At 45.1% G+C, this 27,214-nt stretch overlaps 1 protein-coding gene across 1 annotated transcript; it reads left to right on the top strand.

Annotated features, from left to right (window-relative positions):
• The first annotated feature begins 1,795 nt into the window (after positions 1–1,795).
• On the top strand, positions 1,796–27,012 carry CLEC19A (C-type lectin domain containing 19A). Its single transcript, NM_001256720.2, has 5 exons — positions 1,796–2,004; positions 14,738–14,903; positions 20,127–20,220; positions 23,610–23,742; positions 25,069–27,012. Exons 1-5 carry the CDS (start codon positions 1,917–1,919, stop codon positions 25,146–25,148), a joined length of 561 nt encoding a protein of 186 aa, NP_001243649.1. The 5' UTR covers positions 1,796–1,916; the 3' UTR covers positions 25,149–27,012.
• The last annotated feature ends 202 nt before the right edge of the window (positions 27,013–27,214 follow it).

Here is a 27,214-nt window from a genome sequence, read left to right on the forward strand (position 1 = left end):
AATTCTGTTCATTATAAATTACCAGTCTCAGGTGTTCTAGTATAGCAGCACAAAACAGACTAAGATAGACACTTTTAAATTCCAAGCAGCACCCAGGAACATGACAGCAGGAGCCCCCAAATTTCAGCTTGCAAGATGATAGGGAGTAGGGAGAAAATATCCAAACTTTCTTCCACATTTATATCTTTTATCAACCTTTAATAATGTCCAATGTGGGTGTGTGTGTTTTATAACAGAAATAATATATTAGTACAGTGAGTCGTACCTGCACATCACTTATAAACATGTAATAAATATATCCCATTTATAAATAAGTAAGTGTGCATGCTCTGGGATATGCACCAGTACACTAGTTTTGAGGCAACAGATCTACCCGAGGAGGCATCCTGTAGGTTGAAGCTGAGCCTGAGCTGTGCTCATATTCTGAGTCAGACCTTGGCAGACTTTCAGCTCCAGTGCCAGCAGGCAAGGCAAGCTGTGTGGGCACAAGTTAAGTTATTTCTCACAAGCACAGCAGCAGGTGTTCCAGAAAGACTTGGAAGCCAAACAGACACATTCCAGTCCCTGTGAGTGCCAGCCACATGAGGTGTCAGGGCACCTGGCAGAGCATTTCTGGAGAGGAATAAGGGAGTGCAGGGGCAGGGGATGTGGGTGATGCCAAGGAAAGCCTTGCACTAGATCAATGACAACAATAGCAAATGTTGCTGTCATTTATTGAGCACCTACTACTTGCCAGCATCTATGCCAAGTTTTAGAAACAAATTACTTCATTTAATCCTTGTGAGGTAGGTACTCTACTTATCCCCCATTTTACAGAGGAGGCAACTGAGGTTCAGAGAGGCAAAGTGACTTGTCTAAGGACACAGAAAGTGGGGGAGAAAGACTGTGGTTTTTAGAAATATTGATTCTCCAAAAGAGCGATGAGATCCCAATGAAAACACTAGGGGTTTTTAAACATTGAATTCTGAGCAAGCCACACAGTAGAGCTATGCACTAGTGATGACACTTGCACCTCTTTGTGGAGCACTTATTCTGTGCAACACTCTGTTGAATCTTCTACAGATGCCTCCTTTAACCCCCGGAGGAACCCTGAGAGACCCTGAGAGGTGAAGGGAGAGGAAAGGAGGCTGACTCACACAGGCTTCCTGGTGCTTCCTCAGCGGTGGATGCTGTCAGGATCAGACCCATGGGGTGGAGACCTTGGTGAACCGAAGCTCAAAGAGCCTGGCTGAAAGAGATGCTCTTTCTCAGCTCCATGCAATTGTTGCCCTGTAGAAATGAGGGCTATGTTTCGTTAGGTCTTCCGATTTTCCAATAGAAGGCAGAAATCCGGACTTATACCTAGCATCTCTTGGTTTTATACCTTAACAAATTTTTTAGAATTTAAAACTCTGCAGACCAAACAAATGACATCCATGGCCCAGGAGACCTCTGCGCTCAATGCTTACTTGCAGTAATTTTACCTTCCAGTACATATCTACTCTGAGGGAGGTGAGATGCTTTGTCTCCTGTGACAGGCTGGAATGTGAGTTTCGTTACCATCCCATTTTACAGAGGGGGAAACTGAGTCTCAGAGAAGTGCACACCCAAGGCCACAGCGTGACTCAGAGACAAGACTGAGAGCTAAATTTTGTCTTGGTTCAGAGGCAAGCTTGGGAGCTAAAATGTCTCTTGGTTCTTTGAGGGGGGCTGGCCTAGGCTGCTTTGCTTTCAGCTGTCATTCTGAGCTGTCTCCAACAGTGTGAAGAGGAGGGAGGAGAAAAGGAAGAAAAGAGGAGGGGACTGGAGTCCATCCAGTCTGTCCCAGCTCCTGCCAGGCTCCATCTGACCCTAGGAGAGCAATCCTGGACCCAAGCTCCAGCCAAAAAGCCTCTCTCCTCCACTCAGGCTGGGAGGTTGCTTTCTAGGAGCTCAGGATGCAAAGGTGGACACTGTGGGCTGCAGCCTTCCTGACCCTCCACTCTGCACAGGCCTTTCCACAAACAGACATCAGTATCAGTCCAGGTAAGTGCAGGGACCAGGGCTGGGAGCAGGTGGAGAGGAGTACACTCTCAGGAACTTATTCTATCGGTGAGGCCTGGCAGCTTCTGTTGGGGGGTTGGGGTGGCCTGACCCGAGTCTCCTGACAGCTTTCCCCCTACCAGCTTTGTCATGGGCACTCTTCTAGGCCCAGACACAAAAAGTCCTGGGTTTGAATCCCAGTTTTGCAGTTTACAAGCTGTGTGACATAGAGGAAGTTTCTTGATCTCTCTGAGCCTCAGCTTCTTCTAGAAAGTTGGGTCGCAATGGCATTCTCTTTGGGCTACTGTGCAAGGCAGATAAGATAACATGAGGAAAGTGCTTTGCACAGTGTCTGGCACTACAGGAAGATCTGAACATGGTAGTTTTGTGAGGGATTTGGCATCTGGGCCCCAACCCCACCTTGGCTGTGACAGCCTTCCCAGGGAGCTTTCAGAGCTGCTGCAGTGCCACCAGAGGTTAGGTGCGCAGGGAGGGAGACTTGTCCCTCTAATGGCCTCCCTGGAGGCCTGGCCCAGCAACCCCCAGCCTTGTGGGGCATCCCCAGGGATGAGAACCTGTCAGCCTTGGGCATGTGGCCTCCCAGTGTCCCATATGGAGGGTGAGGGTCTTCAAATGAGCTCAACTTCTTCCACTTTGCAATAGGAAGGCTGGGTTACTGATTCTGGGGGACCCTCATCTGGATGAGAAGAGTTCTGAATCCTATAATTTGGTGGCCAAGAGTCTTGACTGTCACCTCTACCAGGTTCTTTCCAGGCTTGTTTATGTTCATATATGGATTTATTTATCATAGCAGTGGCAGAGATATCATTTTTAAATCCCCGTTCAAGTAAAACTAATAATGAAATACCTAGATGGAGATTCTCATAAGGCCAAATTATTGGGTTGTGATAGTGTTAGAGTGACTTTAAACAGAGGGTTGATAGGGTTGTCAGATAAAATACCAATAAATAAATATTAATAAATTATTTCTTAGTGTAAGCATGCCCCAAATATTACATGGGACGTATTTATACTAAAAATTATCTGTTTGTTTACCTGAAATCAAATTTAACTAGGTATCCTTCTTTTTTTTTTTTTTTTTTGTTAATCTAGCATCCCTAGTGGTAACAATAAGGGATAGTCTTAGCTCATTTGGGCAAGGGGTTTCAGTTCTGTCCTAAACTCTCTGAGTGTATTCATCAGCTCAGGCTGCGAATATCACAGACTGGGGAGCTTAAGCAACAAACATTTATTTCTCACAGTTCTGGAGGCTGGGAAGTTCAAGATCAGGATGCCAGCAGATTTTATTCCTGGTGAGGACTCTCTTCCTGGCTTGCAGATGGCCGCCTTCTCACTGTACCCTCACATGGCAGAGTAAGAGAAAGCTCTGGTCTCTTCCTCTTATAAGCACACTAATCCCATCATAAGGATGGGATCCCATCTAAATCTAATCACTTCCCAAAGGTCCCCCCTCCCAATACCATCACATTGGGAGTCAGAGCTTTAACATATGAATTGGGGGCAGGGAAGAGGAGAGACACAGACATTCCATTCATAGCAGTGACTTGCCTCCTTACTCTCGGACCTCAGTTTCCTCACCAATACAATAAGCAAGTAGGAAAGAAGTTGAACAAAATATCCTTGCAGACTGCGCCTCGTATATCCCAAGATCTTGCCTTTCTGCCCAGCAAAAGTGGGAAGGGGCCAAGACTGAGTTTGAAAGCGGGAGTAACTAGGGGTATTTTCTGTCCTTCACTAGCTTGTGCCCATGGGACCTCTCTGAGACTCAAGTTTCCTCACCTCTCTGAGCCCCAAGTGGGGATAACAAGGGTCCTTATCAAGGGTTTTGGAGATCTTCAATGAGCTCGTGCAGGTGAAGTGCTTAGCACATAGGAAGCATTTAAAAAATGAGTTATTGCCATTACTATGTTTGCCACTGTGGTTGTTGATGTTATACTAGAATTGGCCAGGAGACAGTTTTCTATTCTGACAAAAGTCTTCAACATTGAAAGGAACTTCTGAACATCAGTCCCCAAGCCTCATCCCTACTCTATAGATAAGGGGACTGAGATTGTGTCAATCTCAGCTACCTGGGAGAGCTCGCAGTTTGGAAATGGAAGGATGGGTCTTAAAGATCCACTCAGCCCAACCTTTCCATATTAAGGCTATGGAAACTGAGGCTACAGAGGCCAATTGAGCCAACCATGGTCATCACTGTCCAAGTGGCAGTTCAACTGCTTCCCAGGCTCCCAGCCCTACAGGAAGCCCAGTTTCAGCCTATGCAGATAGATTCTCTAGAGGAAAGTGATTTCAACACAGAGGGAATGTGTGTGAGTTTATGGGTGCATATGGGCAGGAGCGTGTGTGTTGGTATGTTGTAGGGAGGATTTAGGGGTCTCTGTGGGCCCCGGCCGACCATGAGAATACATGTACCTCCAAGGTCCTCCTTATTGAGAATAGGCTTGGTTTTTCATCTTCTTCTGTGGACCCCCAGCCTTTAGGTACAATGCATAACAGGGCACAGGTCATGGGTCATTCATCCCACTACTCCAGACCTTTCATCACCCACCCCTTGCATATGCAAATATACGCAAATAGCACAACTCAGCCACCCCCTATGTTTTGGAGGAAAAAAAACTTTTTAGACATCTCTTAGAGACTTGGGAGGATTTAGACAGACTAAATCCTTTTCCCAAAACCTTTTCTCTGAATCTGCCTTTGATCTCATTGTTTAAGTGGATTAATGAATGTAAAGTCCTCAGAACAGTGTCTGGCACCCAGTAAGAGCTACGTAAACATTTATTATTCTTCTTCGACCATCAAAAAGTTTCCTTTCCCTGACTCCTGAGCCCAAGAACTCTCTATAGCAAAGGAAATTTATAGCAAAGTGTTTTGAAGCTCAGGATCTGCTTCTGCAGGGCTTCAGAAGCGTAGAAGGGGAATAAGTCAGGTTATGTAGCCTCTTCCTCACCCATCCAAGAGCCTGGCATTGCACTCTCAGCTCTGGGAAGGTTCTGTGACCCAGACTGTTTCTACTGTAATAATATCTAATACTTACTAGAGTCTCTACCTCTGAGCTGGAACTGGCTTTTCTGTGAAGTAGGCACTATGATCATGCCCATTGTACAGATTAGAAAACTGAGGCACAAAGAGCTGAGTTTCCCACTAGGACCATCTGACTCCAGAGTCCAAGCTCTGAAGTTGGAGCATAGAGACATAGGCAACGGTGTTCCTACCTCCTAGAGCAGCCCGGATCCTAAAGTGTCCCTTGGACATTCTATCCAGTTCCCCCTCCTCCTCTATGGTCACAGAGCAAGCACTTTGTACATACTTCTAGAATACTTAGTATGCGATGACTCTGCCATGTGCATGTTCCTCCTTCCAGACTGAGAGCAACCTAAGGACACAGACCTCAAGCCAAATAGGCACCCAGGAAACATCGACTTATTTGCTTAATTGTTACATTTGGTGTTTAATAGATTTATTTCACAAATGAGAAAACTAAGACCAGAAAGAAGATATCTTTTAGAGGCGCTAGTCTGTTCAGGAGTTTCTGAATCTGTCAGACTCAAGTCTCAATAGAGTCTCAATCATTGCTCTGCCACTTTTGAGCCAAGACAGTAAGTGACTTACCCTCTCTGAGCCTTAGTCTCCTCATCTGTAAAATGGGGATGATACGGATACTCCCTCCTAGGCTGATCTCAAGGAGTCACATACTAAACACCCAATGAATGGCTGCTATTATTAGCAATATAAGAAATTGTCTAATGCTTTTTTCTGTGTTTCATGTGGCCTCAGGAGTGGCTCACAGAAGGGGCAGCAAAGCTTAGATAGGAGAGACCTGGTGCCACCAGTTCCGCTTCCCAGAGCCAGGGCTCACTGTGAAGGAGGTGGTAGAACCCGTAGGACAGCAGGAGGGCACTGAGGGTGACTGAGTCCTCAGAACGCAGCAGCCACCTTCCTGGAGTCTGTGAGACACTTTCTTCCAGCCCGCTGGGAGTGTCTGGGGCCTAGTATGGGGACTGGGTGGACAAATGTGGCCCCTGAGCCTCTCCGCCTCCCCTCCTGGCTGGGTCCCAAGACTGATCTGGGCAGGAGGCAGCAGGGTAGTGCATTTGTGGGCGGCTGGATTGGGGCCAGGGGAGCCAGCAGCCAGATTCAGTAGGAAGGTGACAATTTATTCCTTTAAAAAGAGTGGGGGTGGGGGGGAGCCCTGAGTTCCACTGATGTGTTTTCTTTTCCTAACAAGCTCAGAACTCCCAAAGGCTTTGACCCCCCACCCCAGCTGGGAGACCTTGGGGGCCTCTGATGTTGCTAATTGAAGGAAAAGACCATGTGGTTTGGCCTCCTGGTTTCCAGAGCAACAGCCCCTTTGTGCATCCCCTCCCCTCTGCCTCTCTCCCTCCACTTCCCCTCCCCCACCACCAGTCTCATCTCTTCCCTCTTCTCCTTCTCAAGTTCCCGGCCATGCTAAACCATTTCTAATTCTCCAAAGCTCCATTCTCTCTCACACCTCCAGACCTCTGCACACACTGTGTCCTCCCCCCGGAACACTCTTTCTCTAACTCTTGTTCATCCTCCGGGTCTCAGTTGAGACAGCACCTCCTCTAAGAAGCCTCCCAGATCTCCAGGTCTGGGTTATGTTCCACTTTTAGGTGTTCCTGTGGCAACACCCTCTTTTCCCCCATCCAGGAAGGGAACTCATGACGCCGTGTCATAATCACCTATGGGATCCTTGAAGATGGGGACAGGGCAGCCACCAATTCAACTAGGGAGAGAAAGGGGCAAACAGCCAGTTTCTAAAATAATCGAGGGGGCTGCTCCCTGAAGTTTTTGCTGGCATGATACACATCCACAAATTACATGCTAATGACATCTTTATTTTTGCTCCTTTTTCTTTTTCTTTCTTTCTTTTTTTTAGAGACAAGGTCTTGCTCTGTTGCCCAGGCTGGAGTACAGTGGTATGGTCATAGCTTGCTGCAGCCTGGAACTTCTGGGCTCAAGTGATGCTCCCTCTTCAGTCTCTTGAGTAGCTGGGACTACAGGCATGTGCCACCACATATGGCTGATTTACAAAAAGTGTTTTTGTAAAGGTGGAATCTTGCTATACTGCCCAGGCTGGTCTCAAACTCCTGGCCTCAAACGATCCTCCTGCCTTTGCCTCCCAAAGTCTGGGATTACAGGCATGAGCCACTGCACCTGGCCTGTGCTTATTTTTCTTAGGTTTGGTCTTCATAGACCATAAGGCTCATGAGGTCAGAAGGCGCATCTGTGTAGTATACCACACAGTATCTTCAGCTTGTAACCTACTGCCTGAGACCAAGTAGGTGCTCAAATAGTACTTGTTGAATGGATAAAGGAATTAATGAAGGACCAGACCATCAAGATTGGAGCAAAAGGAAATGGGCTTAAATGCAGTAGGACTCTCTAGGTTTGGAGCTAGACAGGCTGGCTTCAAATCCCAGCTGGGAGCTGTGCGATCTTGGGCAAGTTGGCCAACCTTTCTGTGCTCTGGTTTCTTCATCTGTGAAGTGGGGGTGATAGTGGCACCTACCTGGTAGGATGTGTGAAGATTGAGTGTATTTTTCTGTATCAAGCATTTAACACAATGCCTGGCACACAGTGAATGCTGAGTCAGAGTTGGCGCTGATTGTTGTGTTGCCATGGTTACCTGACTGTCAAGCTATAAAGCTAAAGAAATCCCTTCACAAGAGACAGATTAGCAGAGGCTGGCTTGGGGTCAGGCTGATGAAAGGCCTACTATTCCCAATTCCTTAAACCCAAGAGGTAAAGGAGGAGGGGGAAATGCCGTGCAGGCTGGAGTTAATGATCGTTTTGGTGCAAGCCAGCGCTCTTTTCCACCTCCCAGGTCCTCACAATTAAAGGCCTTTGCCTGCCCTGTTGGAAAGGGGAGTAATTGAGCAGTGACCTGTCACAGCCCCATTTTCTGGTGTGTTTCACCCCTGGCATCCATAACCACCAAATTACTCAGTGGAGAAAACCTAAAGGACCAGAATGGGGAGGTGGGGTGTAAATGGCTCAAGGAACTTGTTTTCCACTCTGGGAGGAGCAGACAGGGTTGGAGGCAGGGGTTCTTTTTGAAATATCCACAGTCTTTAAGACCAAGGACCCTTTTCCCCTTCTCACTCCACTCAGCCCCTTTCATTTAATTAATTATTAATTCCTCTTTGCCAGGCTCTGTTCAGTGAGAAAATGAATGAATGAATGAATCAGTAATTCTACAGGCTCCATCTTTCAGTCTGGCACACTGTAGACCAGGGCTTCCCAGATTTTCACATTCACAAGAATCACCTGGGGCTCTTATGAAAATGCAGACTCCGATTTGGAAGGCCTGGGGTGGGGCCTGGGAGTCTGAAGGTCCCAGGGGATGCTGAGGTTGGCCTTCGTAGCAATCGTTGTCCTAAACAATATGCAAAACCAGGATCTGGCAACCTCTGCTTTCAGGACTTGGTTAAAAAAACTCCAGGAATGCCATCGCAGTGTCAGGACTCCTGGTTTCAAAGGCATGAGTTATGCACACAGCCTTCTCACCATTTTCCCAAGAGGCTGCCCTCAAGAAGTGGTGTTTGATTCCCTACATGTATTTATGCATTCAAGCCCAGTCATTGTGCACCTACTACGTGCCAAGGCACCAGAGGAAGAGGAATGATCACAACAGATGCTGATGGGGATAGAGGAGGAATGTGTGAATGTTGAGGTGCAAGGGGCTCTAAAAGCATTTATCAGAGGCTCCTACCTCATCTTCCCTGAATAAGTCACTGCAGCAGAGACTCAAAGGAGAAACAGAATTGGCTGAAGTCAGGTCAAGGGAATTATCTGCAAAGGTCAGAACATGTCTTTGAGAAATGGCAAAAGTGTGGGCAAACCTGGAGCACAGAGTAAGGAGGGGGTGAATGACAGAGAATAAGCTAGGGGCAAGCAGTTCCCAAAGGCAAAGGGAACACCTGTGAGGTTTCAGGGAAATGAGGTCAGGCTGTTCCAAGGAGGAAGAATGCCTCTGGACCTGGGAGGTGAGACAAAGCAGGAAGAACAGCTAAAAGGTGTTGAGAAGGTCTTCATGGGAGAAGGTCAAAAAGAATGCAGAAGGGGAAGAAAGAACAGACTGAATTAGAGACGTGTTTAGGAGATGGAATAGACATGACTTGAAAATTGATTGGTTGTAAAGAGGGGAAAAAAGAGATTATTTTTGGCAAATTATCCAACAATGCTAAGAAATTCTGAGCAGTTCCAGCCAATTCTTGTCAATTTTATCTGATCCCAGCCAATACTAGAGAGAGTAGTTTATGTCAAATAAAACATGCAGGTAGAGTCAATGTAACAGACATCCTAAGTTGGATCTGAGCACAAAAAAGGAAAACACTGAGTAACGTCTGGAGTTTAGGTAATCATGTTGTAGCCATGTTCATTTCTTAGCTTTTTAATATGTTAACATCAGGGGAAACTGGGTGAACGGTATACAGGAACTCTCTCCACACACTATCTTTGGTACTTTTTAATTTTTTTAATTTTTTTTTTTTGTTTTTGAGACAGGGTCTTGCTCTGTCACCCAGGCTGGAGTGCAGTGCTGCAATCCCAGCTCACTGAAGTCTTGACCTCTTGGTTTCAAGAGATCCTCCCACCTCAGCCTCCCAAGTAGCTGGGACTACAAGCACATGCCACCACTCCTGGCTAATTTTTGGTAAGAGACAGGGTCTCACTATGTTGCCCAGGCTGATCTCAAACTCCTGGGCTCAAGCGATTTTCCCACCTTGGCCTCCCAAAGTGTTGAGATTACAGGTGTGAGCCGCTGCGACCAGCCTAATTTTTAATTTTTATGGGCTATAGTAGGTGTATATATTTATGGGGTACATGAGATATTTTGATACAGGCATACAGTGTGTAATAATCACATCAAGGTAAATGAGGTGTCCATCACCTCAAGCATTTATCATTTCTTTGTGTTACAAACACTCCAATTATATTCTTTTAGTTTTTGTTAAATGTACAATAAAGTATTGTTGACTGTAGTCACCCTGTTGTGGTATCAAATACTAGATCTTATTCATTCTGTCTAACCATATTTTTGTACCCATTAACCACCCCCACTTTTCCCCTGTCTTCCCCACTAACTACCCTTCCTGGCTTCTGGTAACCATCGTTGTACTCTCTGACAACTTTTCTGTAAGTCTAAATTTATTCCAAAATAAAAAGTTTATTTAAAAAAAAAAAGAGGTAGAAGACAAAGAGAGCAGAGACGTCCAGATTACACAATATGGTGAATTTGAGACTACAAGCTCTTCCCACTACCGCCGTGCAGAAAGGTCACATGAACATCTGCAAACATCCTGCTCAAGTTAGACTGGACTTCTAAGGAAGTGAGGGGGGGTGCCCAGGGGCCAGAAACCAAGATAGAGATAGAGAGCAAAGCAAGCATATTGCTCCAGAGCCCTAAGTAGGGCATCAGCCTTCGTAATGCTTGGACTGGGGTTTTAACACCCACGTGGGGTAGGAGGGGAAGTCAGAGCTATCTGAAGCAGGGAATTGAAACTTGAACCCTTTCTTAGTGCAGAAACTCATGAAGAGTTTCATCTTCAGTGGAAAGGAAACCAGGGGAAAAACATCCTCCTACAGTCAGAGAAAGATGACAAAGAAGTTTACCTCATTCTAAACTCAGGGGAGAAAGTGCTAGACTTCCCTTCTGCAGACTTCTTTAGTGAGGTCCATGTCGTTAAATTTAAACACAATGTTAAAGCAATGTCTTCAGTGCTTTTAAGCCATGGGCTAGGATTAGTAATACATTTTAACTCTAAAATTAGAGAAATAGCCCACACTATACTTCTCATTAGTTGCGGGGGCTGTGTCTTAATTTTTGTTCAAGAAAATAGGAACAGGCTAAGAAATGTGAATGTTTGCTGTGATGTTTTGTGTTGCTGTGCTGTGGGGTTATTTTACATTTTTGGAGTCCTGCCTTCCATCTGGGGCAGGGTTTCTCAGTCCTGGCACTACTGACATTTCGGGTCGGATGATTCTTTGTTGTGGGGAGTTGTTCAATATAGGATGTTTAGCAGCATTCCTGGCCTCTACCCATTAGATGCCATTAGCACCACCACTTCCAGTGGTGATAACCAAAAATGTCTCCAGACATTGTCCAATGTCTCCTGGCAAGGGGCGGCGATAAAATTCCCCCTCACTGCTTGAGAGTGATCAACCAATTTCAGTTCGCTGGGAACTGTAGGAGTGCCCAGGATGTGGGACTCTCAGGGTTTTGTTGTTGTTGTTGTTGTTTTGAGTCAGGGTCTTGCTCTATCGTCCAGGCTGGATGGAGTGCAGTGGCGTGATCATGGCTCATTGCAATTTCGATCTTCCATACTCAATCGATCCTCCCACCTCAGAGTAGCTAGGACTACAGGCACACTCCACCACTCTCGGCTAATTTTTGTATTTTTTATAGAGATGGGGTTTTACCATGTTGCCCAGTCTAGTCTTGAACTCCTGGACTCAAGCAGTCCACCCACCTCAGCCTCCCAAGGTGTTGGTATTACAGGCGTGAGCCACCACACCCAGCCAGGACTCTTGATTTTAAAACTGGGATGGTCCTGGTCACACTGGGATGGCTTGGTCACCCTACTTTCATCTCTAATATGAGTATGTAGGGTGCCAAGTAATTTTAGGACACGTGGGAGTGAGAAAAGTGGTTTATCACCAGCAAAAACTGAGTCATCCCAGTCACTCCTGGACAAACTTAGCCAAGTTCTCATGGATGAGTGTCCTTGGTTACTGAGTGGAAAGAAGGTAGAAATGATTTGCTGGTAGAAATGATTTGCTGCTTCTCATCCATGCTAAGGGAGAAACTGCTGAAAAAGTCGTCCCAAGCAGCGATTCAGTAGAGCCTTTTTGTGTTGTAGGCAGTGCTCAAAAGTCCCTACAAAGAGCTCAGCAACACCCAGCGTTACAAAGGGTCCATCAACTCTCTTGGCCATTGACGCTTTAACGCATCAAGATGATGTCCTCCTAGACCAATGCTCTCCATCAAGAAAGGAGGGACCTGAGTCCCAGAAAAGGGTGGGGACAGGCCAAGGTGCTGTGCCCACTTACCTCCCCCAGCAGAGCTCCTTCCTTTTGACATATAGAAGAGGATTAAGAAAGCCAATTCTGAACCAACAGGCTCCAGTTTGGATACTGGCATGCATTGAAAGAGAGTTGGCCAGGATTGATCAGGAGGGATGGGGAGGTACCCCTGGTCAGCACAGCCGCTGGGGTTGGGGACAGGCTGTTCTGGTCAAAGGGGAAAGCCCAGTGGTACTGACCAGCCCTGAGAAGCATGGCCTGGAAACTGCCTGCCTAGCACAGCTATCTTGATGAAAGCAACTGTCCCTTTCTTTCCCCAGAGAAATGCACAGAGGTGCACACACACTTTTTATTTTACATTTGATTTTGGGAAATTCACTGGATCCCTGCAGCCCATAGTTTTGGTTATAAAACCCTGAGCTAATCATTAATAGCCGTACATTACACAATCCATATATCCCAAGTACTTGGTGACTTTATTTGGCCCAATCAGTTGACCCAGTAACTCCATGAAGCAGGTGCTATAAAGACTGTGAACTATTCTTAGACCCGCTAATTTCCCATCATGAAGCATCATGCCAACTTTATGAGCAAAAACTTGGGAGTTGGGAAGCCTAGGTTCAAATCCTTACTATGCCACTTACCTACAGGATGATCTTGGGCGAGTTACTCAACCTGCCTTAGCCTCAGTTTCCCTATATTTCCTTGGCATACAGGGAAACTATAACAAATGCTCAATGAATGCTGTTCACTACTTTATTACTTCATGAGTTCAGCCAACCACTATAGTGGCTTGAAGGCAAAGATTCCACTAAAGGGTGACCTTCACCCACCCCTGAGTGGATGGCTACAAAAGGGACCCCAATGATCATCTAGTTTGAAGGTCAAGATGGGAAAGAATGAGCCAGCATCTCACGGCAGGTCAGATACAGAGCTGGGGGTAGGACCCAGGCTCTCAACCCCAGTCTAACAGATTCCACCCCTGCCCACTGGCTGTCTTCATGGATAAGCCATCCAACCTAGTATGAGAAAGGTTCTCAGCCTGCCTGTCTCCTCTCGCCAGTCATCCTGAGTCGTGGTTTCCAAAAAAAGTATCTCTTAAGAAGCTTTCAGAGGGGCTGAGACTTGAGAGAACTTTACTGTCTCAAACATGGGGTTTTTAAAAATTTGTTTCTTTTTAGAATTAAGAACAAATCCTGAACTCCAGGAGTTCGATGGGCAAAGATATAAATAGTCTTGGCTATAGCTTGGCAATAAACATGTGGGAAAATGTGCAGTCTTGCCAGATAGTCCAGCATTGCAAATTGAAACAAGATACCCTTTTTTTGCTTATAAAATTTGCAGATTGCCATGAAAGTGATAACACTGAGCTCTGGCAAGGGCAAAGTGAGATGGGCACTCTCAGACGTTACCATGGGAGGATAAATTGCTTTCAGGAGACAATTTAGCAAATTGTATTAAAGCCTTAAAAATCTCTCCTCAGAAAATCAGCAGAAATGCCAAAAAAGCTTTATGCACAAAACTGCTCATCTCAGAATTATTTGTAATAGTTGAAAAAACAGAGAAACTATCTAATTATCTAAAAATAAGAGAATGATTAAATAAACTCTAGGAGAGCCACTCAGTAGAGGATTCAAGAGCTATTTAAAACAATGTTTACAAAAATGTATAATGACATGGGGGAAATGCTTATACTCTTTAATTTTTAGAAGTCAGAATATCGACTGGTATGTAGAGTACCATATAATCACATTACATTAAAACATCACTGCATACAAATGTGACATGAGAAAAAAATGTATCAAAGCATTAACATTTTCCAGGTGTTCTATGATGTGCACATATTATTTTTATAATTTAGTAAAACGTAGGTATGTATATGTTTTTTGGACCTCAAGCATAGAATTGCATAGATCATAATGGGACATACTTTACTTTCATTCTTAAAAGTATGTACAGGTGGCCGGGTGCGGTGGCTCACGTCTTCTGTAATCCTAGCATTTTGGGAGGCCGAGGCGGGCGGATCACCTGAGGTCGAGACTTTGAGAGCAGCCTGACCAACATGGAGAAACCCCGTCTCTACTAAAAATACAAAATTAACCGGGCACGTGCCTGTTATCCCAGCTACTTGGCAGGCTGAGGCAGGAGAATCGCTTGAACCCAGGAGGCGGAGGTTGCGGTGAGCCGAGATGGCACCATGGCACTCCAGCCTGGGCAACATGAGCAAAAACTCAATCTCAAAAAAAAAAAAAAAAGTATGTACAGGCAGGGCTCGGTGGCTCACGCCTGCAATCCCAGCACTTTGGGAGGCTGAAGCAGGAGGATCACTTGAGCCCTGGAGTTCAAGACCAGCCTGGTCAACATGGTAAGACCTCGTCTCTACAAAAACAAAACAAAACAAAAATCAAAAAATGTAGGCAAGCATGGTGGTGCACACCTGTGGTCCCAGCTACTCAGGAGGCTGAGGTGGGAGTATCACTTGAGCTGAGAGTTGGAGGCTGCAATGAGCTATGATCAAACCACTGCACTTCAGCCTGGGCAACAGAACGAGACCCTGTCTCTTAAAAAAAATTAAAAGATTGTAAAGAAAAGAAAATAGGTTCTAAGCTATGGAAACAATGTCAGCACTGCCAACCTTCCTCCCAGTCTGTTTCCTTTCTGCCCCCAGCCCTGCCAGAGCTGCCCCTGCCTTCCCTGTGCCCCCTGTTCTGGATGGAGTTCAAAGGCCACTGCTATCGATTCTTCCCTCTCAATAAGACCTGGGCTGAGGCCGACCTCTACTGTTCTGAGTTCTCTGTGGGCAGGAAGTCCGCCAAGCTGGCCTCCATCCACAGGTAAGTGGGATCCCCAGTGCCCCATAGTTCAACTAAGCACCCCCTTGGGAAATGGGGTGGAGAATGGTATTTCCAACTGGCATTTCTCTTTGGTAATTGAAACTATTTGAAAAAAATGGAGATGGAGTCTTGCTATGTTGCCCAGGCCACTCTTGAACTCCTGAGCTCAAGTGATTCTCCCCCTTAGACTCCCAAAGTACTGGGATTATAGGCATAAGCCAAGTGCCTGGCCAATTGAAGCTACTTTTTATCCAACCCAATTTCTCATTGAAACCATCCTTGGCTATAGAAGGCAAAGCATTCAGCAGGGGTAGCAAATAGCATGCCAGAAGATCCACCTTTATAAGTGCCAGTCTTGTGCTGTCCTCTGCTCTGTATCCTGTGATACAACTGATACACTACATATATAAAGAATATGATGTAAAGAATATGAGAAATCATAACTGATACTTATTTGCTGCACGTTTCATGTACATCATGACATTAAAACTCCCTCAAACCATATTACATAGGTATCTTCATTTTACAGATTAGGAAGGTGAGGCTCTGAAAAGGTAAGTAACTTGCTCACATGACACCACTCTTAAGTGGGAGAAACCAGTTTTGAAAGCGTGGATTCAGATTCCATAGCCCACCCTCCAAGGCCTCCTTCCACATTCCTCTGTCTCCGAAGCCCCAGCTACAATGACCATCTCAGAGTTCTCCAATTTGGTCCAGCTCTTTTACTTCTCCATACTCTTGGGCATTATATTCCCCCTGCTGGGAATTCCATCCCTATCTTCTCCTCCAGGTAAATACCTCCTCAATCTTCAAGACAGCTCTGACAACATCTCTTCACTGAAGTTACTTCTGACCCCCTAATTACACTCATTACCCAGCTCTCCTGGCACACTCCCTTTATCACAGCTTTGCTACCTTTTTTGCATCTGACTTCCCTGCTGATTTGTGAGTTTTCTCAGGCCAGGTGTGATGTGTTCCATTGGCACCCAAGCTACAAATCACAATCTTATCTCTGTTCTTCAAGAATCTCAGAAACTACTTTAGAAAGGGGGTTGGTTTTTTATGTGTAGAGCCGCTGACTTTTGTTAAGAATAAGGAAAGGGGGCCAGGTGTGTTGGCTCACGCCTGTAATCCCAACACTTTGGGAGGCCGAGGCAGGCAGATCACCTGAGGTCAGGAGTTCGAGACCAGCCTGGCTAACATGGCGAAACCCCATCTCTACTAAAAATACAAAAATTAGCCAGGTGCAGTGGAGGGCACCTGTAATCCCAGCTACTCGGGAGGCTGGGGTAGGAGAATCGCTTGAACCCAGGGGGCAGAAGTTGCATTGAGCTGAGATCATGCCACTATACTCCAGCCTGGGTGATAGAGTGAGATTCTGTCTCAAAAATAAATAAATAAATAAATAAATAATAAAAAAAAGAAAGGGGTCGGGTGCAGTGTCTCATGCCTGTAATCCCAACCCTATGGGAGGCTAAGATGGGAGGATTGCTTGAGTCCAGAAGTTCAAGACCTGCACAGGCAACACAGCAAGACCCCATTGCTACAAAAAACAAAAAATTAGCCTGACGTGGTGATGCACACCTGTAGTCCCAGCTACTCGGTAGGCTAAGGTGGGAGGATCACTTGAGCCCGAGAGGTTGAGGCTGCAGTGAGCCATGTTCAGGCCACTGCACTCCAGTCTAGGTGACAGAGCGAGATCCTATCTCAAAAAAAAAAAAAAAATAGAGAAGGAGTATTTTATCTTAGTTTCCAAATGCATCTTGAATCCACTCATCTCTTCCTCCAACAGATGTATTGAACAACCAGTGTATTTTCAGTGGGGCTGAGGGATATATTGAGACAGTCAGGGTCCAACCAGGAAAACAAGAACCACTACAGGTGTCTAAAACAGATAATATAGGAAAGTGATGGAAGCTCAGAACTGAAAATGGAGTAGTGAGGCAAACTAGAGATACATAGGAGCAGAAAGCCAATTCCATGCCTGAGTTGGAGGACAGGCCAGTCCTATGGGAGTTGGAGCCATGGAGGAGAGGCAGCCCCTGCCAGAGACTCCCAAGCCGAGGGGGAAAGAAATACTCTGGTTTCTCCCTCCTACCCATCCACCAAAGACTCATAAGTGCCTCCCATTAACTGAAAGCCAGCTAACATGGAGCCCTATGAAAGGCATTCTTCAGGGATCAAATCTGCTATGAGAGCACAGCACAGTACAGGATTGGCACTTGTAAAGACAGAAGACATCAATTCTCAAAGAATTCCTAGCCTGTAGAGGAAAATGAGATATATTCAATAAAAAGCAAATGCAAAAGTGATTCCAAATCAAGGCTTTTCTCTAGACAGCCCTCATTGTACTTGCAACCTCAGTTGCATCAGAAGGACCCTGAACATGGAGAACCAAACTAACCAGCCAGCCCCTGGGAGAACAGGAACTTTGGGCTACAAGCTGTCAAGGATTGGATAGAAAATAGTCATGGAAGCTTTCCTGGAAGTACTGGTCCTGGATCAGGATCTTGAAAGATTGGGAAGCGTAGGGAATGAGGGCAGCAGATGTTCAAAATGAAGAAAACTGTGGGGGACAGTATGAGCATTGATTAAGGGCATCAGAGTCAGGTAGTTCTAGACTGTAGTCCCAGCTCCATCACTTCCTACCTGCACAATCTTGACCAAATCACTTAAACTCTAAGCCAAGAATTCTCAACTTGGAGATAGCAATAATCACACTGATCTTTATTTATTTATTTATTTAGACAGAGTTTTGCCCTGTTGCCAGGCTGGAGTGCAGTGGCGTGATCTCGGCTCACTGCAACCTCCGCCTCCTGGGTTCAAGTGATTCCCCTGCCTCAGCCTCCTGAGTAGCTGGGACTACAGGCGCATGACACCATGCCCAGGTTTTTTTGGTTTTTTTTTTTTTTTTTTTTTTTTTTTTGTATTTTTAGCAGAGACGGAGTTTCACCATATTGGCCAGGATGGTCTCAATCTCTTGACCTCGTGATCTGCCTCCCTCGGCCTCCTAAAGTGCTGGGATTATAGGCATGAGCCACCGCGCCCGGCCTCACACTGATCTTTTAAACTTGTGAGGCATTAAAAGTGATCATGCCTCTAAAGTTCTTACACAGCACTTGGATAACTCCATGCCCAGCAGTAGGAGTTATTATTATTATTAGTTATAATAAACTATAATTCTGCCTCAAGGAGGCCAGTGTTTTTTAACGTTCCATATCAGTTCATCTTTCTGAGAGTGAGCAAGGCTTGTCTCACTCTTCCACTTTCCTTCCTCTTTTTCCTCTTTCCTTTCCTCCAAGAGTGTATGTTAAGTAACTCTCTGCAGTGACTGGCTGGAGCACTGTGTTAAGACAAATTCTGAGTGCCAGAATTCTAAGTGCTTCTAATCTGGAATTGATTGGCAATCAATTCCACTTCACTAACACAAAACTAAGGAGAGTGACTATGAGTGCTTGGATTTACTACTAATGCCTCAAGAAAAAAGAAATCTTCTAATGGTGGGTATTTTAGATAAGGTGGCAGCCTTCATAGAGCAGTCATTTGGAAGAAGCTGATGGGAGCAGATACACCTTATTGCAACATAAAGGGTACCTCAACATAGCCCTGTTTTGAAGTGAATTATTGAAGCTGATGGGAGCAGATACATGTTGTTGCAACACAAAAGGTACATCGACATGGCCATGTTTTGAAGCGAAGTATTAGGTCTATGGCTGATTATTATCATTCTGTATTGATTTCTTTGACATACTAAAGTTCGCCTTTTAGTGCCATGTGGAAGCCAATAGTGGGAATCATTTTTTTCAGTGGGATCTGTCATCTGGGCCTGTGAATGATTTGAGTGAGGTGTGCCCACCATTTGTCCATTTGCTGTCACATCCCTTGCCCATTCTTCTAACCTCTACAAACAACCTGTTTCAGGCTCGTTGATATGGGCCCTGGATGAGCAGTTGTTTTGGCTTTCCTTCAGCGTCTTCAATGCAGCAGTTCCAAGTTTTGCGTCCAGACATGGCTACAACCTAAGGAGAAAGGGCAGTGCTAGAAACTTGGGTCTTCTCCACATACCTCCCTCCTTTCATCATGGAGAAAAATATTTCCAAGATGTCCCCACAAACATTGCCTTAAATCTAACTGGCCATGCTTGGTCATATGGCCAATGTTAGCTGCAAAGGGAGCTGGGAAAATAAAATTTGGCTTTTCTGGGTCATAATGAAGGCAATGGGGTAAGGGATTAGGAATGGCTATGGGATAGACAACCAGTAGTATCTGCCCCAGTGCCTGGTTGTTGTGAGAACGAAATGAGTTCATGCACTTAAGACACTCAGCACAGTACCTGGCATGAAGTCAGTGCTCAAGAAACATTTTAATGATAGGATGAAAATAATTGTGTTCATTTCTCTACCTCTCTGTTTATCAGTCTATCTATTCATCTATCCATCCATGTATTCATTCATCCACCCATTCAACCACCTATCCACCTACCCATTCATCCATTTGTCTATCCATTCATCCATCCATTCATTCATCAATCTATCCATCCATCTCTACTTCTTTGTTGTTTTTGGGAGTGGACTCTCACCAGGGTCCTCCACTGATTCCTTTTGTTGGGTGAATTATTTGATAAGCTCTTTGAAATAGAGGATAAGAATCCCCCCAAAAGACACCCATGACTTCTAAGGATGGTGGGCTGTTAACTGAGGGACTTCGTTTTGCTAAGTGGGCAATGCAAGTTGAAGCCTAGAGCTGAGTTTCCCAGGAAAACAGAGATTTTGGAGATGGTATGTGAAAAAAGACTAGGAGAGAAGGGGATATATTATAAATGGGCAGTTTAAGGAGGGTCTCTGAGAGAGAACAGAAATGACTAGTGGAAATTTTCATTTATTTATGTGATGTATGCAATGCAATGTAAACTCCTTTCATTGTCTCTTCATCATATCTTCAATATAATCCACCTCATTTGCTAGTGTTTTTGAGATGGATTTAAATTTTTAGGGATGAGTAGCAGTACTGAGTCCTTCTTTGAACTGGCATAGGTCAAATCCAGAGATGCCCATGTAGGACCGGCCACATATGGGTGACTTAATGAAAAATGGAGGCCGAATTGGATCATATCCTCTATTTACTTTGGTCCAGGAAGGTAAATATGGATTGCTTTCAATTTTTGACTCCATCCTATGAAAAGAGGCCATGAGGAATCAGCTACTATTATTCTTAAATTCGCAGCTGGGAGGAGAATGTCTTTGTATATGACCTCGTGAACAGCTGTGTTCCCGGCATCCCAGCTGACGTCTGGACAGGCCTTCATGATCACAGACAGGTGAGAAAGCAGTGGCCATTGGGCCCCCTTGGAAGCTCCAGCCAGGATTCTATTTTGATTTAATAAGCTTTTCACATCAGTGCCAGGTCACGGCTATGCACACAGCATATAGAGAGAAATCAGACACCAAGATGTCACAGTTACAGCATGACCAATTTGTGAAAGACATTTAATGATGTCCTACTAAATGATGGGAACAGATAGCATGGTCAGAGAAAACCTGTTTGGCTTGGGTTCTCTTAAAAAAAAAAAAAAAAAGACACTAGGCCGGGTGTGGAGGCTCATGCCTGTAATCCCAGCACTTTGGGAGGCTGAGGCTGGTGGATCACGAGGTCAGGAGTTCAAGACCAGCCTGGCCAGCATGGTGAAACCTCGTCTCTACTAAAAATACAAAAATTAGCTGGGCGCTGTTGTGGGCTCCTGTAATCCTAGCTACTCAGGAGGCTGAGGCAGGAGAATTGCTTGAACCCGGGAGGCAGAGGTTGCAGTGAGTGGAGATCATGCCACTGCACTCCAGCCTGGGTGACAGAGCAAGACTCCAACTTGAAAAAAAAAAAGAAGACACTAAAACATGATTAGATGTGCAAGAGATGTTGGAGGGGAAATATTTGTGAACAAAAAAGAGGAAGGAGGCATAAGTAGGCAGGGAAGGACTCCAGACAACACCAAGGGTCTAAGACACGTGAAAGAAGATCAGAGAGGAAGGACTGGGTAGGGAGAGCCTCAGATCACAGCACAGTGCTGAGAAAGTCTTGGCTAGGCCAATGGGGAGTCCCCAAGGAAAGATGCCCAAGACTGGAATCCTGCACTGGGCAGAATCCTGCACCAGCACCATTACCCCTGACATGCTGAGTCACTGGCTAGGAACAGCCTGGAGGAAGCATTGTCTCACTGTGAATGCAGTGGCAGCTCCAAAGAGGCAGAGGCATGTGCTTATCACAGACAAGGCAGTGAATCCAAGGCGGCAGGAGACCTGGGGCTGTCCATCATCAACTCTGCTTTCTTCTGGTCCTCCTGAAGGCGATCTGGGTAATGTACTTCTGTGGCTGCCACAGCCCTCCTTAGTAAGAGATATTTAAGTTAGTGTCTAATGGGTAAATAGGAGTTAGCCAGAGACAGCATATTCCAGGTAGAGGGAACAGCATGGGTCAACATCCTAAGGAAGAGGAGGTCCTGGCACATTCAAGGAAGTTAATTAAGGAAGACCATTGTGATTAGAGCGCAGAGTGGGGTAGGGGTGGGTGTATAATAAGGCTGAAGAGGATAGCTTGGACCAGATCTCTGCAATGTCACAGCAAACTCCACCTGGAGATTTTTGTCCTCAAATTTTTCCTGGGCAAACCACATACTGAGTCTCTATTTTGCGTGTATGCTTCTTGCCTTGCTCAGGGCACTATAGGGAATAAGGTTCCAGTGCCAGCTCCTTTTCTGCCACTTACTGGCTGGCAGGTGACTTTGTGCAAATTTAAAAAACCTCTCTGAGCCTCAGTTTTTGTGTCTGTAAAATGGGGATGAAAATAACAGTGCCTTGTGAAAAGAAAAATAAGTGAGCTAATGCATGTAAAGAGCTTAGCGTGGTGCTTAGCATATTATAGGAACTCATTAAGGATGATGAATATTGCTCTTAAAGTAGCAGAAGTAACAGTGTAGTCAGACCTGAGTTTTTTTGGGTTTTTTTGCTGTTTTTTTTTTGTTTGTTTGTTTTTGAGATGGAATCTCGCTCTGTCGCCCAGGCTGGAGTGCAGTGGCGCAATCTTGGCTCGCTGCAACCTCCACCTCCTGGGTTCATGCCATTCTCCCGCCTCAGCCTCCCAAGTAGCTGGGATTACAGGAAGCCGCCACCATGCCCGGCTAATTTTTTGTAGTTTTAGTAGAGACTGGGTTTCACCATGTTAGCCAGGATGGTCTTGATGTCCTGACCTCGTGATCCGCCCGCCTCAGCCTCCCAAAGTTTTGGGATTACAGGCTTGAGCCACCTCGCCCGGCCTATTTTTTTTTTTTTTTCCTTGAGACAGGGTCTTGCTCTGTTGCTCAGGCTGGAGAGCAGTGGTGCAATCACAGCTCACCGCAACCTTGAACTCCTGGGTTCAAGCAATCCTCCCAACCTAGGCTCCATAGTAGCTAGTACTATAGGCAGGCACCACCACACCTGGATTGTTTTTTAATTTTTTGGTAGAGACAGGGTCCCACTATGTTGCCCAGGATTGTCTCTAACTTCTGGCTCCAAGTGATCCTCCCACCTCAGCCTCACAAAGTGCTGGGATTACAGGCATGAGCCACCATGCCTGGTGATTTTTTAAATCAATAGACTTCAACTGGCAAGAACACATAGAGAAGTTATAATTTTAAAAACACTAAAATGTCCATTTATAATAGCAACTCTAAAATTGGATTATAATTACATTAAATCAGAGTTAAAGAAACTTGTATTGAAAGACCTAATAATAATAATAATAATAAATACAAGAAAATGCCTTTTCTTCTTTTCAGAGCTGGGCACCATGTGTCAGGCATTGTACTAAGTCCTTCACATGCTTTAATTTTTTCAACCCTCACAACAACTCTCTAAAGGACACATTAACTCCACCACACAGATGTGGAAACTGGGGCTCAGAGAGGTTAAGTAACTTGCCCAGGTTGCAGAGCTAGGCAGTGGGTGAACATGGGACCTCAAGCTCTAGTCTCTCTCTCAGAAGTAGCATGCTATTCCCATTACATGACGTAGGCTCCATAATTATCAGTGCTTTGGGGGTACTTTTCTTAAAACTTAAATAAATGGAGAAATGGCTCCTGTTCCTGGACAAGTTGTAAAGATGTAGTTTTTTCCACAGTTAATTTGCACATTTATTGCAACACCAATCAAATTCCCAACAGGACTTTCCTTGCAATTGGACAGAGTAGTTCCACCTTAGGCAAGAAAAACACGGACTATTTAGACAAAAAGAAAACAGATGGAAAGTGACTCCCATCCACTGGCAAAGTGTAGTAGTTAGGGGTCTTGGGTACTTGACTCAGATAGACCTGGGTTTGATTCCCAGCACTAATGCTTTATTTGCTGTGTGAATTTGGGTAGACCAATCTGAGTCTCAGTTTTCTTATCTGTAAAATGGGGCTGATGACGCCTGCTTTTCAGAATGGTGAGGATAAAATGAGTAAAGTTCCTGGCATGGCACATAATAAGCCCTCAACAAATGGCAGCTAGTAATAGTAGTAATAATAGCAGTCAGATTGGTAGCAGTAGTGCCAGATAGCAGTAGCCTCAATGAAGACATCTGTGCAGAGGTGTTAGAAATTAAGTTGCTAAGACGTCTGAGCTGGAGCTGCCTGGCTCAAATGCCTGATCTTCTTCTTGGCTTGCTTCTTTGTCTCTTTGGGTGGAACCCTCCCAGGAAGGGCAGTTTGAATGGACTGATGGCTCATCCTATGACTACAGCTACTGGGATGGCAGCCAGCCAGATGATGGCGTCCACGCGGACCCAGAAGAAGAGGACTGCGTGCAGATATGGTACAGGCCTACCAGTGGTGGGTACCCCTGAGACCAAGGCTCTTGCAGGGGAGCCCAGGAGGTGTCACAGGTGGGGAGAGCGGAGAAGGGCCTTGGGGGAAGAGGAGCACCTGATGGCCTGAGACTGGCAAATTGTTCAGCACCTTGGAGAGCGGTGGAGGTCACTAGGGTGTCGGGGGCATGGCCATTCGCCACAATGGATATGCTTTAAACAACATTAAATGGGGTTTGGTTGACACATAAACTCCAACTTGAATGAAAAGATGTTATAAATAGAAGCATGGGGGGAATAAAGACTTGTATAGAGAGTAGTCAAGGGGTGATGCTTCCATGTCAACTCAACAACACATCAAAGTGCAAGCCCCTTCCACAGACTCATGCTCCTGAAGCAAGCCACATGTGTGGTGGCATGAGGGTGTGGGTAGTGAGAAGAGTATAGACTTGAATTCAAATTCTGGCCCTGTTTCTTTCTAGTTCTGTGTCATTGCAGAGAATTACTTATCCTCTCTGAGATTCTGTTTCTTCTTCTATAAAATGGGCTTAATAATTTGTCCTACCTACAAGACTGCTGTGAGGATTAAAGGAGGCACAGTTGATATAGCACCGTGGCAAGAGCATGGACTCGGGAGTTGACTGCCCTTGTGTGAACCCCCGCTCCATCCTTAATGTGTAGCCCAAAGAGAATGCCTTAACCTCTTGGTGCCTCAGATTCTTTGTCTTCAAAATGTGGCTAATGATACTTAACTCACAGGTTAATGTGAATAAAAAAAGAAGATAGTGCTCATAGAATAGCTGCCATGCTCAGTATTCAGTATTAGCAATCACCAGCATCATCATGAATCATCACTTTCACACCAATGTTAAGAAATAGAAACAATATTCCCACTTTGCTGATGAGGAAAACGAGGCTCAGAGAAGTTCAGCAACTTGTTCAAGGTCACACAGCAAGCTAAGTAGTGGAGCTGGGTTTCAAATCTAGATCTACAGAACTCCAGACCCAGACACTTAATTGTTATTCCCTCTTTGCTCTTTTTTCTTTTCCTAATTAGGGGAGGGAGGTAGAGAACAGCTTATTTTCCTGGGAGCCCTCCTGGAGCCCTGGGTAGCCAGAGTTGGGCCAAGCCTCTGGCTGAAGTTCATCCTCCCATCCAAGGTGACAAGCCAGAATCAGCTTTATGCAAGAGTAAGGCTGGACAGCAGGCTTGTCAAGTATCAGCAAGAAAGGGCTGCCAGCATAGACACAAGGCCTATTGGAGATGGCTTTTACTTCAGAGGAGTGGTGGGGTTACTTTTATCTTGGCGGATGGATTTTCACCCAGATTCTCTGCTTCTTTCCATCACAGCTCTGAGGTCATGGAATGATAACACCTGCAGCCGGAAGTTCCCCTTTGTCTGCAAAATCCCATCTCTGACCATTCATTGATCCTGTCTTGTCCTACTGGTGTGAGCTCAACTCTAGTATCATCTTGTAGCTGTAACCAGTGTAGAATTGACATTGAATACATGTAAAACATACATAGGAAGTAAATCTCTTGGACAGAGATTTTAAACAAGCAGATCTTAATTATACAGGGTGGTCACTTGGCCAAGTGTCAGGAAAGCCAGCTCAAATTGGCTTAATTTTTTAAAGTGTTTTTTTTTTTAAATTGACCCAAGTAACAAAAATCCAGGGGTTGTTCTGATTCAGAGTTGAATCTCACTGGCCTGGCTCGGGTCACGTGCCCATCCCTGAAGCAATCACTTTGGCATATGCTAAGTGGCTAGCTCCTGCTTAGCTGTACATCTTTGGACAAAATGGGGTGGAAGTCACATTATCAGAGGCGCTGGGAGTGGGGGAAAATGCGGGGGGGTGTTGGTCAAAGCATACAAACTTTTGGAAATAAGATTAATAAGTTTGGGAGGCTTAATGTACAGCGTGATGACTATAGTTAATAATAATGTATTGTATTCCTGAAATTTGCTACGAGAGTAATTTTTTTTTTTGAGACAGAGTCTCACTCTGTTGCCCAGGCTGAAGTGCAATGATGCAATCACAGCTCACTGCAGCCTCAACCTCCTGGGCTCAGGTGATCCTTCCACCTCCAGTCCCCAGAGTAGGTGGGACTACAGGACGCTACAGGCGCATGCCACCACATCTAGCTAACTTTTGTATTTTTTTTTTTAAATAGAGACGAGGTTTCATCATGTCATCCAAGCTGGTTTCGAACTCCTGGGCTCAAGGGATCCACCCACCTCAGCCTCCCAAAGTACTGGGATTACAGGCATGAGCCACTGCGCCTAGCCAAGAATACATCTTAAATATTCCCGTCAACACATGGGCTCAAAGATGAGGCTGGTTCTTCAAAGGAAAACAAAAAGATTACCAAACTCATAAATTGCTGGTGGGAATGTAAAATAGTGAAGCCACTGTGGAAAAGTTTGGCAGTTCCTCAAAAAGTTAAACATAGAATTACATCTAAGCCAGCAATTCCACTCCTAGATCTCGACCTAAGAGAATCGGAAACAGGTATTTAAATATAAGTGGTCGGCCAGGTGTAGTGGCTCATGCCTGTAATCCCAGCACTTTGGGAAGCTGAGGAGAGAGGATCACTTGAGCCCAGGAGTTGAAGATCAGCCTGGGCAACATAGTAAGACCCCATCTCCATAAGAAAAATTTTTTAATTAGCCAAGCATGGTGATGCACATCTGTAGTCCCAGCTGTTTGGGAGGCTGAGATGGGAGGATCACTTGAGCCCAGGATATCAAGGCTGCAATGGACCATGATTGTGCTTCTGCACTCCAGCCTGGGTGACAGAGCAAGACCCTGTCTCAAAAAACAAAAACAAAAAAATGTGATCACAGCAGCATTATTGATAAAAACCACAAAAAAAATGAAGACAACCCAAGTGCTCACCAACAGATGAATGACTAAACAAATGTGGTCTATTCATAGGGTGGAATATTATTCAAGCATAAAAAGGAATGAAGTAACGATAGATACTACAACCTGAATGAACCTGAAAAACATTATGCTTCCAGTCACAAAAGACCACATGTTGTATGATTCCATATATATGAAATATCCAGAATAGGCAAGTCTATAGAGATGGAAAGTGGATTAGTGGTTGCCAGGGGATGTGTGGAGGGGGAATAGAAAGTGAGTGCTAATAGGTATGGGATTACTTTGTGAGGTGACAAAAATTATCTGCAATTAGATAGTGGTAATGGCTGCACAATATTGTAAATGTACAAGAAGCCACTGAACTGTACATTTTAAAATAATAGTTAAAATGATAAATTTTACATTATATGAATTTTTATTTTTATTTTTTGGAGACAGGGTCTCACTCTGTTGCCCAGTCTAGAGTGCAGTGATGCAATCACCTATCACTGCAGCCTCGACCTCTCAAGCTCAAGTGATCCTCCTGCCTCAGCCTCCCAAGTAGCTGGGACTACAAGAGCGCACCACCTCTCCCAACTAGGTTTTTTTTTTTTTTTTTTTTTTTCATA

Source organism: Homo sapiens, chromosome 16 (assembly GCF_000001405.40).
Source record: "Homo sapiens chromosome 16, GRCh38.p14 Primary Assembly".
NCBI lineage: Eukaryota > Metazoa > Chordata > Mammalia > Primates > Hominidae > Homo > Homo sapiens.